Source organism: Homo sapiens, chromosome 8, assembly GCF_000001405.40.
Source record: "Homo sapiens chromosome 8, GRCh38.p14 Primary Assembly".
NCBI lineage: Eukaryota > Metazoa > Chordata > Mammalia > Primates > Hominidae > Homo > Homo sapiens.
The window spans coordinates 106757594-106775671 of NC_000008.11; the positions used below are offsets into that span (position 1 = coordinate 106757594).

General features: G+C 39.6%; 1 protein-coding gene across 1 annotated transcript; it reads right to left on the minus strand.

Moving 5' to 3' along the window:
* Nucleotides 1–1889: 1889 nt before the first annotated feature.
* On the minus strand, nt 1890–12651 carry ABRA (actin binding Rho activating protein). Its single transcript, NM_139166.5, has 2 exons — nt 11930–12651; nt 1890–3921 (listed from the first exon to the last, which is right to left on the minus strand). The coding sequence occupies exons 1-2, from the start codon at nt 12595–12597 to the stop codon at nt 3444–3446; spliced, it is 1146 nt and encodes a 381-aa protein (NP_631905.1). The 5' UTR covers nt 12598–12651; the 3' UTR covers nt 1890–3443.
* Between the last annotated feature and the right edge of the window lie 5427 nt (nt 12652–18078).

Below are 18078 nucleotides of genomic sequence, written 5' to 3' on the forward strand. Positions count from 1 at the left end.
TTTAAGTTAAAAACAAGGCACAACACATTATGCATATGTATTTTCACATTGCTTGAGTTGTATCTTCTATAGAAATTTTAGGAGTGGGATTTGTTGGTCAAAAAGTAAATACAATGTAATTTTGTTAGATACTGCATGCCCCCCAAATCTGGGCACATAGTATTATTAGATAATCCTTATGGGAATGATAGCTGGTGGATGGACCACAAAACCTCTAGGCTGAGAGGTTAGGTCATAGAGCACATTTTTAAATTAAGTAACAGAAATTGACTGTGTACTTCTTATACTAAAAATATAGGTACTGGGAATGAAATTAAAATATTCTAGGAATCCTGGGGGACATCTACATTAAGGGGTCACTTCAGTATGGACTCCATGGTCTCCTGCTCCTCTTATATACCCATTACTTATATACCCATTACTGTTCAGTAATGTAATAGAGAAGTTCCCACTGACAAAATTCTAGTTTACACAGAATTGTTTCTATATCATGTGAGAAACAGCACTGGGTATTCTTACGTTTTATCAGTTAGTAGTGATTAGAAAAAGAAGGAAGTAGAGCTTGGGAAGGGAAAGGAAAAAGCAGAAGGCAAACCAAGAATAGATGCAGCCTCATCTTGCAACACTGTGGGAAGAAGAAAGCCCACGCTCAGAACCTCCCTCCTTGTGATGTAAGTCGGCAGAGTGATGAGGTGAACTTACACAACTTTAAGTTATGAGATAGAAGGGGTAATAAAGTACAGCACAGAAACCCTCCGAACATCTGATTGAAAGTTTGGAAAAGGAAAATCCTGAAGATTGGGAAATTAGTTGTATATTGCCTGTTATTGGGAATTTAGAATTATCAGTAATAAAATAACATGATTTCATATATTATTTGGTAACTATAAAAATATGAGGACTTTCTTTTTTTTTTTTTTTTTTTTTTTTTTTTTTTGAGACGGAGTCTCGCTCTGTCGCCCAGGCTGGAGTGCAGTGGCGGGATCTCGGCTCACTGCAAGCTCCGCCTCCCGGGTTCACGCCATTCTCCTGCCTCAGCCTCCCAAGTAGCTGGGACTACAGGCGCCCGCCACTACGCCCGGCTAATTTTTTGTATTTTTAGTAGAGACGGGGTTTCACCGTTTTTTAGCCGGGATGGTCTCGATCTCCTGACCTCGTGATCCGCCTGCCTCGGCCTCCCAAAGTGCTGGGATTACAGGCGTGAGCCACCGCGCCCGGCCCAAAATATGAGGACTTTCATTACCTTGTTTGCCACCTGAGTTCTTTTATTTTTTGTTTTAATTTTTTGTCAAAATATCTTAAGTTTTTCCAACTATGGATATTCCTATCATGGAGTTTGTAGGATAATAATATTTTGTTTGAGGAGATATTTTTGGATCCCAATTCAGGAAACATTAAGATGACAAATGGCCTTAAAAATAAATAAAATATTTATCAGAAGAATAATACACAATAAAGAAAAAAGTCTACAAACCACAAGCTAGTATCACAAGACACCTCTTACGATGATATCTGTCTCACAAGGTGCTTGGGAAGATGTGCCTATCACACAGCAGGCGTTTTTATCTAAGGAAAGTAGCTTTCTCACTTTACAGCCAGGCCTTATTCAGAAGAGTGTCAATGTCTTAGAAGCTGTCTGAGAAGAGGCCTTTTACTCCATCCTTACACTCAAACAAATTGAACTTTGAATAATCTATGTCAGTGCCTGCATAACTTAATATTATTCAGAATTGAATATGAGGAGACTCTTGAAACCTTCATCTATTAATACATATTCTACTGATACTATAAGTAACCTAAGTTGCACACTATAATTTTATTGTATTTCAAACAGAAGAAAGTGTATGTGGAATATAACTTATAAATACTATAAAAACAAGAACAGAAAATACAAGAAAACATCTTTTATTCTTATGCTATTTGTCTTTAACATTTGGCGTAGGTTTCACTTGTAATAGAAGTGTGCATCTTACATGAAATCCTACTTAGAAATATTGGTCATTAACTTATAGCTTTATAAATACGGTATGGAAACAAAATACGCATACTTTCTTAAGATACCAGAACCTTCAGTTTGAAAGAGACTCATACATGAAAACAAATATAATTCTTATAGCAGTCTAATACCTATTATTTTGAGGTATCATATTTAGACATTAATTTTTACATTTAACACCAAAGTGCTATACTATCAATGCATTTTAGTAATTTCATTGAATCCAGTAAGAATTGCAATCTCACATTCCATTCCATTTGTTTTTAAGATCACATAGGCACATTAATGTCCAATGATTTTCTCCTTGCCATCATCATTGTATATTTTTTACTTTGGCAGAACTAATATTGCAGTTTTATGACTTAAACATTTCATAAAGTTTTCTTTGTTACAGTATGAGGAACATTAAACTGTCTCAAATCTGTTTTTAATTCACCAATGATTCTATGGGATTTTTCTAATACTGAACATTCCACTTCATAGATTTTCTGTATTTCTCCATTGTTGGAGAAATACATATCATTGCATTGATGTTAATGCAAGCAGCTTGACTCGTTATATGCTGACATGTAATGAAACAATAAACTTCTCCAAGAAGTCCTACAAAGGCAAGTAAATCTGAATCTCTCACCTCTGCTCTACTTTTAGTGAGGGTGTGCCTTCCTTTGTTGGTACTAAGACAGGAAGTGTCTGTTTTTATGTGATTTGCTGAAATCAAACAAGAGGAAGGTGAACTCTTACTGGAAACCTGTTAGAATCCAAGCCCACAGAGGAACTTCAACAATTTCAGCAACATCTTGACAACTTTTTATATATGTGCTTGTTTTGTAAGTGATGCTATGATATAAACAATAATACAAAGTCAAGCTTCTGAAAAAATTTTAAGTTTAGTTTTACCAAACTTAATGGTATTTTCTTTTTTCCAAATAAAGACACATTATTATATGTTCTACTGATATTTATCTCAAGTCAGCATTCTTCTTAGATGTAATGTTTAATTAAAAATCTATAGTAGTTTCTACAATGACTAGCTAAATATTTTGCCTAAAATATACAAGTGGCTGGGTGCTGTTGCTCATGCCTATAATCCCAGCTACTTGGGAGGCTGAGGTGAGAGGATCACTTGAGGCCAGGAGTTAAAAGACCAGCTTTGGTGACATAAAGAGAATCTGTCTCAAAACAAAAACAAAAACACCCTGTGGAATTTCAACTATTAATACTATTATTATACATTAACATTCTATGTGCTTTCTGAAATGCTTTGTGCCTTCTCAAAATCTCCAAAATTCCTCATTCTAGATAGAAATAGAATGCCAGAAAGTCGTTTATGTAAAAATTGTTTAATATTTACTAACTTATTACAGAGAGTTTGCATTTTCATTTTACCTACATGAGCATTTAGCATTAAGACCATAGTGGGCCAAATTTGGCTTTTGTTTTTGAAGGTTCACTTGAGTAGCGTAATCACAACATGGTCATCTCGGCCTTGCCATAGCATCTCTCCTTCAAAGTCTACCAGTCCATGTTTCCTGGCACGCATGAGAATGCCCACTACTTTATCTGAAATACGAACGTATCTGTCAAAGAGATCTCCAAAAGTAACCTGGATCTTGCCATCTCGTCTGTGGCGAGCCATTGTGCAGATAATGAAGCACATGTCCATCATTTCCCTGTAGATGTGCTCCTCAGCACGCTTGGCCCTTTCAGCAGTTTTGGTTCCTTCTTTGGGGCGGCCATAGCCCTCATCTCCTTTGTGTAGGCGGGTGGACATGGCCAGCTCGTAATCAAACTCTTCACTGAAAGGATTGAGCTTCTGGGATTGTATGTGTTCATCAGCCCACTGCTGCCATCTCCCTTTCAAGTTGCCCACTGGGCTATATTTCTGTTGGGCTTTGCAGTTGAGTTTCTCTGTAAATCTGTTTACCCTAAAGTAGAGAGAGGGTGAACAATCAAGATTCAGATATGTTAACACCGAGTGTTGTTTTCCCTTTGTACTTCCCACACATATGCATCTTTAATGTAAGTATAATTTTTTCACTACAAAAATAAACACAATATAAAAAATTAGAAATGAAAGAAGAAAAATCATACATAGTCCCACCGTTGTTCTTAGTTTGGTGCATATCCTTCTAGATTGTTTTCTCTATGAATAACGATTTTAAGCATTATAATGATATTAAAATCTATTTTAAGAAAAAAGCTTCCCCACACAAAGTTAATGCAAATGTGTATATCTTTAAGTTGAGTATTGGTAACATTTTAGAACTGAAATCATGTAGGTGTTTTCAGGAATCTAGTTCTTAGAGGACCTCTGAAACCAATTATTTCCCAAAGGTAAGGACTCTACCACTACACATGCAGTTTAATATTTAATCATATATAGATTTTTATATGTGGATTTTTCAGTGAGAGCATATATAGACTAGTATCAATGATGCCACAAACTTCGAAATATGAAGTTGTACAGATAGAAAACACTAGCTAGCAATAGTAACATTTACTGAACACTATGTACTGGCATTCTTCTAAATGCTTTATTAATATTCCCCACAACCATTTCCTGAGATAGGTACTACTATTCCTACTTCACAAATGAGGAAACTGAGGCCAGAGAGATGAAGTAACTTCTTAAAGTCACAAAACTGTTAAGTGGTAGAACTAGACTTTGAACCAAAGTTAAGCTGGCTCCAGAGCCTGTCTATAACTGTGAAATACTGCCCTAAATAGGTGACGTTGCAGGATTCAAACGCAAGACTGCCTTAGACCAAGGTCAATGCTCTTTCTACTATGTAGTGATGCCACTCAGCAGGCCCATACAGTGTCTAATAAAGGAATAAGTTGCGTTTTAAATGTGTATATCTTTGGAATTCAGAATGCATTTTCTATTAAAAAACCAACTCTGGAAAGTGTAGACTAGTAGTATCGTGAGGATGCCAGCCTAATATTAGGATGGGGCAGCAAACTAACACAGGAACAGAAAACCAAACACCACATGTTCTCACCTGTAAGTGGGAGCTGATCTATGAGAACACATGGACACAGGGAGGGGAACAGCACACACCGGGGCCTGTTGGGGGTCAGGGGGAGGGAGAGCATCAGGATAAATAGCTAATGCATGTGGGGCTTAATACCTAGGTGACAGGTTGATAGGTGCAGCAAGCCACCATGGCACACATTTTTCTATGCAACAAACTTGCACATCCTATCCTGCACGTGTATCCCAGAACTCAAAAAGACATCCCTGCCATTTCTCTGTCTCCAATTGCCTAGACTTTTTCCCTAGGTCTCTAACTTAACAGTTAAAACACGAACTCTTGAACTATCTAAAAGAGAGTTGTACTCCTAACCATCACAAGCGTCCCACCCTCCCTTTTTCTCCCCAGTAACAAGTGGCCTCATGCCTGGAAGCATTGGGATTGCAGATGTTCAAGTGGTGCTGAAAGTACTTGTGTGAATGGCATGCCTGAGCTATCCCAGCTCTCACAATTTACTATTCAAAACCCAGGAACCAATCAGATTTGGGTATCCCTCACCATCCAAACTCACTTCCCGAAATCTGGTTACCCAAAGGCTGGAACCAAACACGTGGACCGGGAGGAATACATACTTACATTAACATTGTTTTCAAAAAAGAAATGACATCCACTAGATGGCGAACTTTCATCAATTCTTATGCTTGGTGTTTCCCAACGTCCTACGCTTGCTATATCGTTTCATAGCACAATAGAATTGGAATTGGAAATACTCCTACATGTAACACCACTATCCTTTATACACATGGATAACAGTGTATGACAAAGTTAATTAGTAAAAGAAAGCACACAAAAACCATATACACAATTATTACAACTTTATAAAATATATGTGTGAAAAAGTGCTAGGAGCTCACCAGGCTGAAGTGTAATGGATTTCCCTCAGCCCTCCTTGTCAGTTGATTCCCTGCCTCTCCATCGACTTTTCCTGTTCAGCTGCCCTCAGTGTGGGCTGCTCAATCTCATTATCAAAAGAGAGCAAATACCTTGTCCCTTGTGAGCCATGCTAATCAATGACTGATCACCATGTTGATCAAAGGCATATTCTTCAATATCAAGCCCAAGGCCATCCTAGCAGAGCATAAATTTCATGCCAGACTTAACAGCTGAGGTGTCCTGCCAGAGAAGAGGCTTGAAGTATCTCAAATGAAAGTGAATGGTGTGATTTATTAACTCATACTTTGTCTCCTGAGCACCAACTGTAGTTCTGCCCTATTGTATAAATCCTAATGCATCCTGGCTTTAAACAGTTTTTGAGCATGTTTACATCCCTCCCATGCTTTGAAGTATTTATTTGTGATACTTACTGTGTGCCAGGCACTTTTTAAGGTACTTATTGGATATTTTATAATGAAAATAAAGTAATATAAATTTGGGTTTATGGTACAATCACAACTCTGTAAAATGTATAAGCACTAGGCTGAAGAATTTAATAACATTTGCACAATTGAAAGTAATTATGTCGGTATCCAGATAGCAGTTGGTTCTTTTCACTTTTCAAAATTCTCTTATATGTTGGTATTATACTGATTTTGTAACAAAGAAAGCAAAAAATAGGTAAATACTCAAATTTGCATCCAGAGGTAATTTGTTTAAACTGCACGTTATATGGGTCTCCGATTCTTTGATGTAGCCTTTTTTTCTTCTAATTTTTAATTAGGAACTTAGTTTCCCTAAATGTTGAAACTTAGTGTCATTTGGGATAACAGTTGGGATTGGTGTGTGCCAATAAATCTGTGAAGAGCTTCTAGGCCAGGCACAGTGGCTCACGCCTGTAATCCCAGCACTTGGGGAGGGTGAAGTGGGCAGATCACTTGAGGCCAGGAGTTCGAGATTAGCCTGGCTATCATGGTGAAACCCCATCTCTACTAAAAATACAAAATTAGCTGGCATAGTGGCGCATGCCTATGGTCCCAGCTACTCAGGAGGCTGAGGCAGGAGAATCTCTTGAATCTGTTAGGCAGAGATTGCAGTGAGCCGAGATGGTGTAACTACACTGCACTCCAGGCTGGGTGACAGAGACTCTATTAAAAACAAACAAACAAACAAACAAAAAAGACTGTAAAGAGCTTCTAAAAGAAACACCATTTAAATATTAATGTCTATTTGTTATATTGTCAAATTGTAATGCCCTCTAATTGGAGGGAAGAACACCAAAGAAAGTTGGTCCCATAAGGAAGAATTAGAAAATAGGGCTAGGAAAAAAAAGAAGGAAACTCATCCTAATGAGCATCTAATTTTCTCTATTTTATAAACATTCTGTATTGTTTTTATATCTCCAATTTTTAAAAGGTCAAAGTGTATTTGGTTTAACTCAGGGTTAGAAAGTCTTATACACTGAATTTTTTTTTTGGTCGTAAGTACTATAAATGTAAGAATCGATACCAGATTATGCTGTTTTTAAAAATTTCAGGGAAAAATGTGAGTGATACTTTAGATTGAACTTTAGAAAGATAACCTAGCGTAAATTGAAAGAAAGCAAAGCGATATTTAAAGGCTAACATTTCACCCGCATTTTACAACAGCAGTCCTAAATCCAGACCCACCTTCTCAGTTTCTTCATTATTAGTAAAAAAACTTTCTTATAGTCAATCAAAAATATAAATTAGCCAGGCCTGGTGGCACGTGTCTATAGTCCCAGCTACACTGAAAACACTGGCACTGAAAACATTTCCTGGTGGTTGCCCTTCACTTGAATCACCAGCTTCAAAATGCATGGGACGCCTAAAGGCATGATTTTCTCTTCTGTCTCCGATCTGTATGGAGAAAGTGAAAATGGGCTTTCACTGCCAACTCCATAGATCTTCCTGTAGAGGGAGTATTTCTCCTCCTCATGCAGGCACCCTCCTCTGTCAGGAAAGCAAAGAGTCTCTGCTACCCTTTCCAACTTCTAGGAGAAATGCTGCATTGGTTTGCTTGTCCTTCCCTACAGACAGTTTAGCCCATTTGATTACTGAGAGCGTGACATCAAGAGGGGCACATTTATCAGAAGCAGAGTGACAGCATTCAAAAGGCAATATGAACATTTCTGCTCAGCAGTTTTGCTGTCTGTCATTTTCAGCTTCGTTTGAGAGCCAGGCCTGTGATTCTCCTTGCAGATTGAACTGTCTTCAGAGTCTATTGAAAGTGTTCGCGGCCCTAGAATTGGGCACAGGCAGAAGGACAGCATAATTTTGCCTTTGTTTCTTGTGAGATCCTTCAATACATTTGCACCAAAACCCTGAACTTTGGGAGTCATTAGGATTTCACTAATTAAGCCCACATTTTGATCTCCATTTTGGTCCTTAAGTCTGTTCTCTACTAAGAGGGACAGTCTAGCATAGTGGTTAAGAACACAAGTGCTGGCATCAGCCTTCCCAACTTCATCCCTTCCTCGTTCTGTGACTTGGATTATATGTTTCTTAATGTCTCTGTGTGTCAGTTTCCCTATTTACAAAATGGCAGCCTCCTGCTCAACTGCTATTATTTTCACTGAATTAAACATGGAGGACAGGATGGATAAGTGATTGGTACTTTAATCTTGCACCTTTATGAGAGAGAGATCTAATTTCTTTTGTCTAAAGGAACTGGATTGAACAAGTCACATACGATCAAAAGACTGAATATTTTTAAAGCAAGACAAAATATGAACCATTTTCATAGTAAAACTCCAGTCAGAAGAACCACTGTTGGTAAAGAATTTATCTACTTTTTTCACAGTTGATCTGTTTCTACTATCCATGGAACATCTTAACCACCAAGAAACTTTCTTTCCACCTAAACATCTGTGATACATAATTGTCTCCTTATTGGCAGATACAGGGAGAGAAGGGTGCCTATAATTAAAAATAAGTGGACAAAAAGGCTTTCCAAATTGGCTTAGTAATGCTGCTTTCATTTCTCAAGCAATATTTGAGAGTATCATTGGGCAAAAATTCCCATGAGGCTTCTGCTGAAGTTTCCTGAGCACAGCTAGGATTACCACTGGAATTAAGAGCTGCTGTTGCTGCATATAACATTCTGGTACCCTATGTACTCTAAGACAGAGGGAAAGGAACCAAAAAAGGAAAGAAGAGATTTAACCACCACTACTACTCTGAACCTGCAGAGCCAAGCTCCTAGCATCTTGAAGGGCTGGGATCACCAAGCCTGGCTTCCTGTATTATGATGAGTACAATTTGCTAATGAGGTCCCCTGAGTCTATCACTTTACATAGCTAATATAAAAATAACCCCGTGAGATATGAGTTATCACATCTCTTTTTTAGATAAGGACCGAGAGACTCAGGATTACCAAAGTAACCATGATTCAAATCTAATTGTCTCTTATTCCAAGCGTAGGCATTTCAACACATTAAGAAGGTGCCCATGTGCCAGCCTGATTTGGGGAACCCCAAGATGGGTCCTGTATCCCACTCCCCACTTTTAGGTGAGACAGTTTACTCAGAGCCAGAATGACTGAGTTCAAATTTCATGGGCTGTAAAATCTCATACAAATTCCCTAATATTTCTTCATCTCCTTTCTCCATCTATCAAAGAGGGATGATGATTATAACCTATCATATGAGGATATTGTGGGATTAAATAAATAAATATATGAAAAGTGCTTAGACAAGTGCCAAAGAATGTCTAGCTCTACTATGCATTCAGGATCGGTCCCAGCTGTCACCTCCTTACTTCTAGTTAATTTAAAATGTGCTGAGAGAAAGATCTTGTCATTGTGCCCCCTCAGTCTTTATTCTTTTGGACCCCGTTATTCCATTTCTAGCACACATGTCCCAAGATCCAAAAGGCCAGAGTTTGGAATATGGTTCCTCATGTTCGGATAGCATAGTTACTTCTGATCATGAACTCCTACATTAAGCACAAATCCAGACCTCTGAATGCATCCTCAAGACACTGCATGAAGGTTGGAACCATGTCTGGTTTTAAAACATTGCATTTGGAGTAGGGCACGTCTTAGCTTTGTCACTAATTTGCTGGGCAAACTTCCCCTCTGAGCTTTGGTGTTCTTATCCCTGAAATGAGTGAATAGCTACTCAAAGGATTATGAGAAGTGAAGCGACAAAGCATTTAAACACCTACAGCACACACTGAACACGTGACAGATTATTGTAATTACCCATTTGCCATTTTATTTTTCTTGAGAGCTGGCAGTGTAGTAGTTCTAATTCTTTCAAAACACCTTTACAGTCTCAAACTATAAGACAGCTCTTTAGGCCGCGTGCGGTGGCTCATGCATCCCAGGACTTTGGGAGGCCGAGGTGGGTGGATCACCTGAGGTCAGGAGTTCGAGACCAGCCTGGCTAACATGGTGAAACCCCATCTCTACTAAAAATACAAAAATTAGCTGGGCGTGGTGGTGTGCACCTGTAATCCCAGCTATTCAGGAGGCTGAGGCAGGAGAATCACTTGAACTCAGGAGATGGAGGTTGCAGTGAGCCGAGGTCGTGCCACTGTACTCCAGCCTGGGCAACAGAGTGAGACTTCATCTCAAAAAAAAAAAAAAAGGAACAGCTTTTTGTCAAATTAGGTAACAATTTTTTTCTTTATTTTCTTATTGTTTCATAAGACTTGAAAAACACACTTGCACATCAAACTGTCCCCAAAGGGAGTCAGTCTATAAATGTAATGACATCAGACATTTTTCTTATATTTTGATACCCTGGCATTGTGGAATAAGAAATCCTGACTTTCTACCATGTGGAGTTACTGTCTTGAAATAAAGCACGTGTTTCTTGTCTATATACATGTTTCAGTTTGAGTAAATGTGTATGTGAGTGTATGTATGTGTATTTACCATCTAGATATTTTAATTATTGCTGTATTTGTTTACAAATAGGACAAACTGTTTTTGAAAATTTGAAAAGTTGCAAAGTAACCAAATCTATGTGAATAATAATAGTTTTCGTGTATTGAGCATATGTGACAAGCTCTGTGTTTGGTAGCCCTAATCTCATTTACGTTTCCCAATACAATAGAACTTCTCCCAAAAGCTTACTGTTGCTGTCATTTTACAAATGAGGAAATCTGCTTTTTTTAATTTTTATGTGAAACAGAGTCTTGCTGTGTTGCCCAGGCTGGAGTACAGTGGCATGATCTTGGCTCACTCCGACATCAGCCTCATGGGTTAAAGCCATTCTCATGCCTCAGCCTCCCGGGTAGCTGGGATTACAGATGCACAACACTGTGCCTAGCTATTTTTGTGTGTTTTTTGGTAGATATGGGGTTTCACCAATGTTGGTCAGGCTGGTCTCAAACTCCTGGCCTCAAGTGATCCGCCCTCCTCAGCCTCCCAAAGTGCTGAGATTACAGGCTGAGCCACTGCGCCCAGCTGATGAAATCACCTTTAAAAATGACTAGTTAGGGGCAGAACTAGGATTTGAACTTGGGTCTGTCTGACTTCATTCAGAGCCTGCTTTCAAATTAGACAGCAGCCTCCACCTGTTTAGAGTCAGAGATTTGTATTCCATGGGTGTTATTGAAGCAGACGTATCTCCTGATAATAGCATAGACATTTGGGACAAGGTAAAAGTTTCCCCAATGAGTCTATCAGAAACCACTCTTATCTCTAAAGAAATAAGCCAATTTGTTACTCATTATAGAACTGACTTAAAGAATTCACGAAAAACAGGCTTCCCTCTCTGATGGCTTCATCTTTGTTGAGGCTAAGACTTGAGTGTTCAGTTCAAAACAAAAACGAGAAACAAAATAGCGCAGGCCCTGACCAAAAGGTCCATGTCTAAGGTTGGCACTGACCTTCAGCCCAGGGACATCCCTCCTCTACAGTACTCACTGCCTGTCCAGTCTTTGAGATTCTCACTCTAACCCTGGCAGGACTTCATCTGCTGCCTGGATTCCCAGACTTGGTTGGGGCTCAATAGTGATCCTGACACAAGGAGTGGGAGAATGCATTCACTTACTGGGAGGGCAAGGGGCGCTTGATCCTGACCACAGCCACCTGCACTCCATCCTGCTCGGGCCTCTCCTCAGCCTCTCCTCCATAGCCGCTGTCCTCTGTGTCTACGCTGTCACTCCTCCATGTGGGCTCCTCCTGCTCCATCACTCTCCAGCCCTTGGTTAGCTCAGACACCAGGTTGGCACATTTTCTCCTCCGCGTTGGGGAGCCGTGGCTGTGGAGGATTCTGTCAATGTCATTCTCTGGCTGCCCAGGTTCAAGCACACCAGCATCCCTCTCGTACCTGTGGCTGAGGTGGCTCACGTCCCCTCCTCTCTCATAAGTCTTGCTGACCACCGTTTTGGACACCTCTTTCTTTTTGATGTGAGAAACCTCAGGGGCTTTCTCTGAGCTTTGTCCATCTCCATGTCCTTCTGGCAGGCGGGGTGGCGACTTTGGGGCACTCTGAGCTTTCTGGTGTGAAGTAGGGGGTGTGATTGGTTTAGGAGCTTGAGGTGAGTCCTGGGTCCCTCCCGGCAGCCAGCCTGTAGGCTCCTGGGCCTGCCTGATGCTGTTCTCATTCGCCCACTGCTGCCAACCTCGGGCCAAGCTGATGACCAGGGTGGCTGTGCGTATCTTCCGGAGGGCGCTCTTGGCTGGGCCCTCCCCGCTTTCCTTTTCGCCCGGAGCCATGCTGCCCACCTGTCTTTCTCTGCTGATAGCCTGGACACTGGCTAAAATGAGTGTGGTCCAGTGGAGTGCCTGGGATTTAAATAGAAGCAGGGTGCGGGGTGGGAAGGAGAGCTTAGTGACGATGGAAACTATGTGAAGCATTTCTTGCCAAGATGTGGCGCCTTTGCCCTGATGGTGTTCTTTTTATAAATCATGACAGCTCCAGTTTCATCACGGCAGAGGGACATCTCTGCTGGTAAGGAACAGTGATATGCTCACTCTCTTCTCCAAGTGCCAGAGTGGAAATTACTAGATCAAGTCATGTGCTCAGCCTTACGTTTGTCTGACCTTAATATGGTCCTACCATTTATAGGTGCATACATATTATCCTGGGAACATTATAGGATTGTTCCCACTTAAACCCCAGCAGCCCTCAGTACAGCTCCTAATTAGTTCCACTTTATAGCTAAGTAAAATAAAATCTAACTTCCAGCAGCTAATAAAATATGAGATTCAAATCCATCTCTGTGTAATTCAAAGCGTGTGCCTCCTTTTATTCCAGTTATCAAAGATCCTAAGTTGCCTTTTTCTTTTTCATTCAACTCCATTAGAAATAGACCTTAGAAAATCAACTCATCCAATCTTCATTTTCCAAATGAGAAAATTGAAGCCCAGATACGAGAAAGACCAAAGTCCAGATAGTCAAAGACTAATTACTTTCTAGTCCCAACTTTGAACTATTGTATAGATAACTCATATTAAAATACAAAAAGGGAGTCAAAATTTTGGTCCAATCATTAAAAAATGTTTTTAAAACCTGTATACACATTGGATTTTAGAAATTATTATTGGAGGCCGGGCGAGGTGGCTCACGCCTGTAATCCCAGCACTTTGGGAGGCCGAGGCGGGCAGATCACGAGGTCAGGAGATCGAGACCATCCTGGCTAACATGGTGAAACCCCGTCTCTACTAAAAATACAAAAAATTAGCCGGGCGTAGTGGCGGGCGCCTGTAGTCCCAGCTACTCGGGAGGCTGAGGCAGAAGAATCCTGTGAACCCGGGAGGCGGAGCTTGCAGTGAGCGGAGATCGAGCCACTGCACTCCAGCCTGGGTGACGAGCGAGACTCCGTCTCAAAAAAAAGAAAGAAAGAAAGAAAGAAATTATTGTTGGAATACATATTTTGAAATACTTTGTTTGAAAAGATCATCTAAGGACAGAATTCTAAGGACAGAATAAATGAAAGCTATCGGTAGCTCACTTCTTATCCCCATCCCGCCTACCCTTACCGTTTGGTTTGTGGTTGTTGTTTTGTTTTGTTTTTTGAGATAAGGTCTTGCTGTGTCCCCAGGCTGGAGTGCAGTGGTGTGATGATGGCTCACTGCAGCCTTGACCTCCTGTGCTCAATCAGTCCTCCTGCCTCAGTCTCCCAAGCAGCTGGGAATACAAGCATGAGCCACCATGCCTAGCTAATTGTTTTTGTTTTTGTTTTATATAGACGGAGTCTCGCTATGTTGCCCAGGCTGGTCTCAAACTCCTGAGCTTGTGCAGTCTTCCCACCTTGGCCTCCCAAAGTGCTGGGATGACAGATGTGAGCCCCCACGTCTGGCCCCTTTTGTTTTTAGTAACACAATCTTCCTTAGCAGGACTTTATGTTCATGTAGGCAAAGACAGTTTTTCAACTCTCACAAGAGGGACTGAAATATAATATTTTTTTAAAAGGACTGGAAAGACAAGCATGTGGACAGAAAGAGAAACATCTATGCAGTGTATTAAACCAGATAAAAATGTCCAGGGCTCAGCAATGAATAATTTCTTAAAGTAAGACGGAATTTTTTTTCATTCAACAGGTCTGTTGGCTTTAAAACTATATCCTTTCCTTCAGTCTTGCATGCAAGTAACCATACTGATTGAAAACTGCTGTTTAAGAGCACAAAAAGGTATAAAAGTTAATTATTTCAGAGAGTGAGACATTTATTTTGGAAAAAAGTTGGTATTAGTTTTTTGTTGTTGTTGTTGTTTTGTTTTTTTGTTTGAGACGGAGTCTCGCTCTGTCGCCGAGGCTGGAGTGCAGTGGCGCGATCTCGGCTCACCGCAAGCTCCGCCTCCCAGGTTCACACCATTCTCCTGCCTCAGCCTCTGGAGTAGCTGGGACTACAGGAGCCCGCCACCACGCCCGGCTAATTTTTTTGTATTTTTAGCAGAGACAGGGTTTCACCGTGTTAGCCAGGATGGTCTTGATCTCCTGGCCTCGTGATCCTCCTTCCTCGGCCTTCCAAAGTGCTGGGATTACAGGCGCGAGCCACCGCGCCCGGCCGCTATTCGTTTTTCATCGTGTGGGTTATTTACCTCTTAGGATAAAAAAAATTGGGAAGTGATTTAATACTTAATCTACAGATCTGTCAGAGGTGTTTCCAGAGTTCAACGGCATCTGATAACATTAACTGAGGGCCAGAAATGCGGAGAAAAAAAAAAATCCCTCTTGATTAATTAAGAGGAAATTGGATCACAAGGAAAGAAAACTATTACAAACAAAGATTTCAATCTGAGCCTGAAATTTCTGGCATTCCTCCCAGCAATGCAGATTCACTGCAGCCTGTTTGGTTCTTATCAGAATCTCTTCATCCCACTTGGAAGGTCTTAGGAAAAAATAGAGTTCCTCTAAGACACCCATACGCTTAGCCCAGAATCAGGATAATTTATAGCTTTCAACGGGATTTTCCTGCTTGCCTGTCCACACCTGCCCCAGATTCAGTCCTGATAGAGGGAGAAGAAAGGGAAACAGCAAATGTTAACAGTCTTTCACGTATTAACTGGCATTGCAGTCAGCTACTGGGGTTTGGGGATGTCAGCAGATGGTCTTGGCTGAAAAACAGGAGCAGCTTCTAAAAGAACCTAGTCATTCCTTCTGAGATTTAGCCTCCATGGCAACTGCAGTCCTTCATTCATCACTCTACAGAAGAGAGTGTAAAATCGTTTTCCTCCTCACGCGTGCTTTGGGCCTTTCTTCCCTAAAGCAAGGTCTGTATGCTACCTCCCATACATCTTTGATTACTATAGAAATATTACGTTCATTGTCTCAATCGAAATTCAAATTCTTGGGAGTTCTAGATTTTCCTGTTTCATTTATGTTAGAAATGAAAATAAAACCTCAAAGACAAAAATAAAATGAATTAAGTGTTTTACAATGGGAGCTTCCTAGGAAACCTTGAGATTTGAAACTGTTTGTGAAGATGCAGACCTGATTAATGAGATCATTATCGCCTAAGAAGTCTGTCATAAGTGAGAAAGTATCTTGAAAATAGTATTTGTTATTTTTTGATCATATGAATAGTAGAAAGAGGAAGGAGAGGTATTTATATATTTTTCTGCATGATACACTTAGAAGTTAGGTAGAGCCAACCCTCATAGCCAGCTGTATAATCTGATTAAAGAGACTTTAGGAACCTACATTTGCTCAAAGCTATATGAAACAATCGCTTTTTTTTTTTTTTTTTTTTTTGAGATGGAGTTTCACTCTTTTGCCCAGGCTGAAGTGAAGTGCCATGGTCTTGGCTCACTGCAACCTCCGCCCCCTGGGTTCAAGTGATTCTCCTGCCTCAGCCTCCTGAGTAGCTGGGATTACAGGCATGCTCCACCACACCTGGCAAATTTTGTATTTTTAGTAGTGACGGGGTTTTGCCATATTGGCCAGGCTGGTCTCAAACTCCTGATCTCAGGTGATCCAGCTGCCTGGGCCTCCCAAAGTGCTGGGATTACAGACGTGAGCCACCACACCAGGCCACAATAGCTGCTTTTTTAAGTTGTTTTATTGTGTATATTTGAAGTTTACAACATGATTTTATGGAATACATGTATAATAAATAGCAAAATGATTACTATAAGAAAGCAAGGTAACATATTTATCATCTCACATAGTTGCTTTTTTGATAAGAGCAGCTAAAATCTACTTTAAAATTTCTAATGCACTTTTATTAACTATAGTGCTCTGTTGTACATTAAATCTCTAGATTTGTTAATCCTACATATCTGCTACATTGTATCCGTTGACCTGTTTTCCCATTTCATCCCCCAAGCCAACTCTTGTAACCACTATTTTATACTCTATATATTTGACCTTTTTTAAAAAATCATGCAATATTTTCCTTTCTGTGTCTGGCTTATTTTGCTTAACAAAATGTCCTTCTTGTCCATCCATGTTGTGCCAAATAGCAGGATGCCATTCTTTTTTCTGGCTGAATAATATTCCATTCTTTCTTTATATATAGACACACACATATACATATACACACACATATATATACACACATACATCTATATAATATGTATATTATATGTTATATATATGCATACACACATATATACATATTCCACATTTTCTTTATCCATTTGTCCATCTACAGACATGTACGTTGTATCCATATTTTGGGTATTGTGAAAAATACCACTATAAATATGGGATTGCAGATATCTTTATGAGGTAGTGATTTCATTCCCTTTGGGTATAGGCTCAAAAGAGGGATTGTGGGATCATATATAGTTCTATTTTTAATTTCTTTAGGAACCTCCATACTGTTTTCCATAATGACTGCAACACCCTACATTTTCACCAACAATGTACTTTTCTCCACATCATTGCCAACATCTATTATCTCTTGACTTTTCAATAATAGTCATCCTAATGGATATGAAGTGATATCTCATAGTGGTTTTGGTTTGCATCTCCTGGATGATTATTGATGTTGAGCACATTTTCATATACCTACTGTCCATTTTTATATTTTCTTTGGATAAATATTTCTTTAGGTCCTTTGTCTATTTTTTAATGAAGTTATTTGTCTTTCTGCTATTAACTTGTGTTTTATTTATACTTTTAAAATACTTAACTCTTTATCAGATATGTAATTTACAGATTTTTTTACAGATATTTTTCCCAATTCATAGGTTGCCCTTTTGTTTTGTTGTTTCCTTTGCTGTGCAGCTTTTTAGTTTGATATAGTTCCATTTATTTATGTTTGATTTTGTAGCCTGAGCTTTTAGTATAATATATTTAAAAAATCATTGCCAAGGCCAGTCAATGTCCAGGTGCTTTATTCCTATGTTCACTTCTAGGAATTTTATGCTTTTAGGTCTTACATTTAGGTCTTTCATCCACTTTCAGTTGGTTTTTGTGTACGGTATAAGATAAGGGTCCAATTTTATTCTTTTGCATGTGGAAATCCAACTTTCCCAGCACCATTTATTAAAGAGACTACCCTTTCCCCATTGTGTCTTCTTGATGCCCTTGTCAAAAATTTGTTGGCTGTATATATTCATATTTATTTCTGAGCTCTCTATTCTGTTTTTTTGGTCTGTGTTTCTGTTTTATGCCAATACCATACTGTTTTGATTACTATAGCTTTGTGGTATAATTCTTATTCAGGAAGTGTGATGCCTCCAACTTTGTTTTTCTTTCTCAGTATAGCTTTGGCTGTTTGGGTTTTTTTTTTTTATGGTTCTTTAAA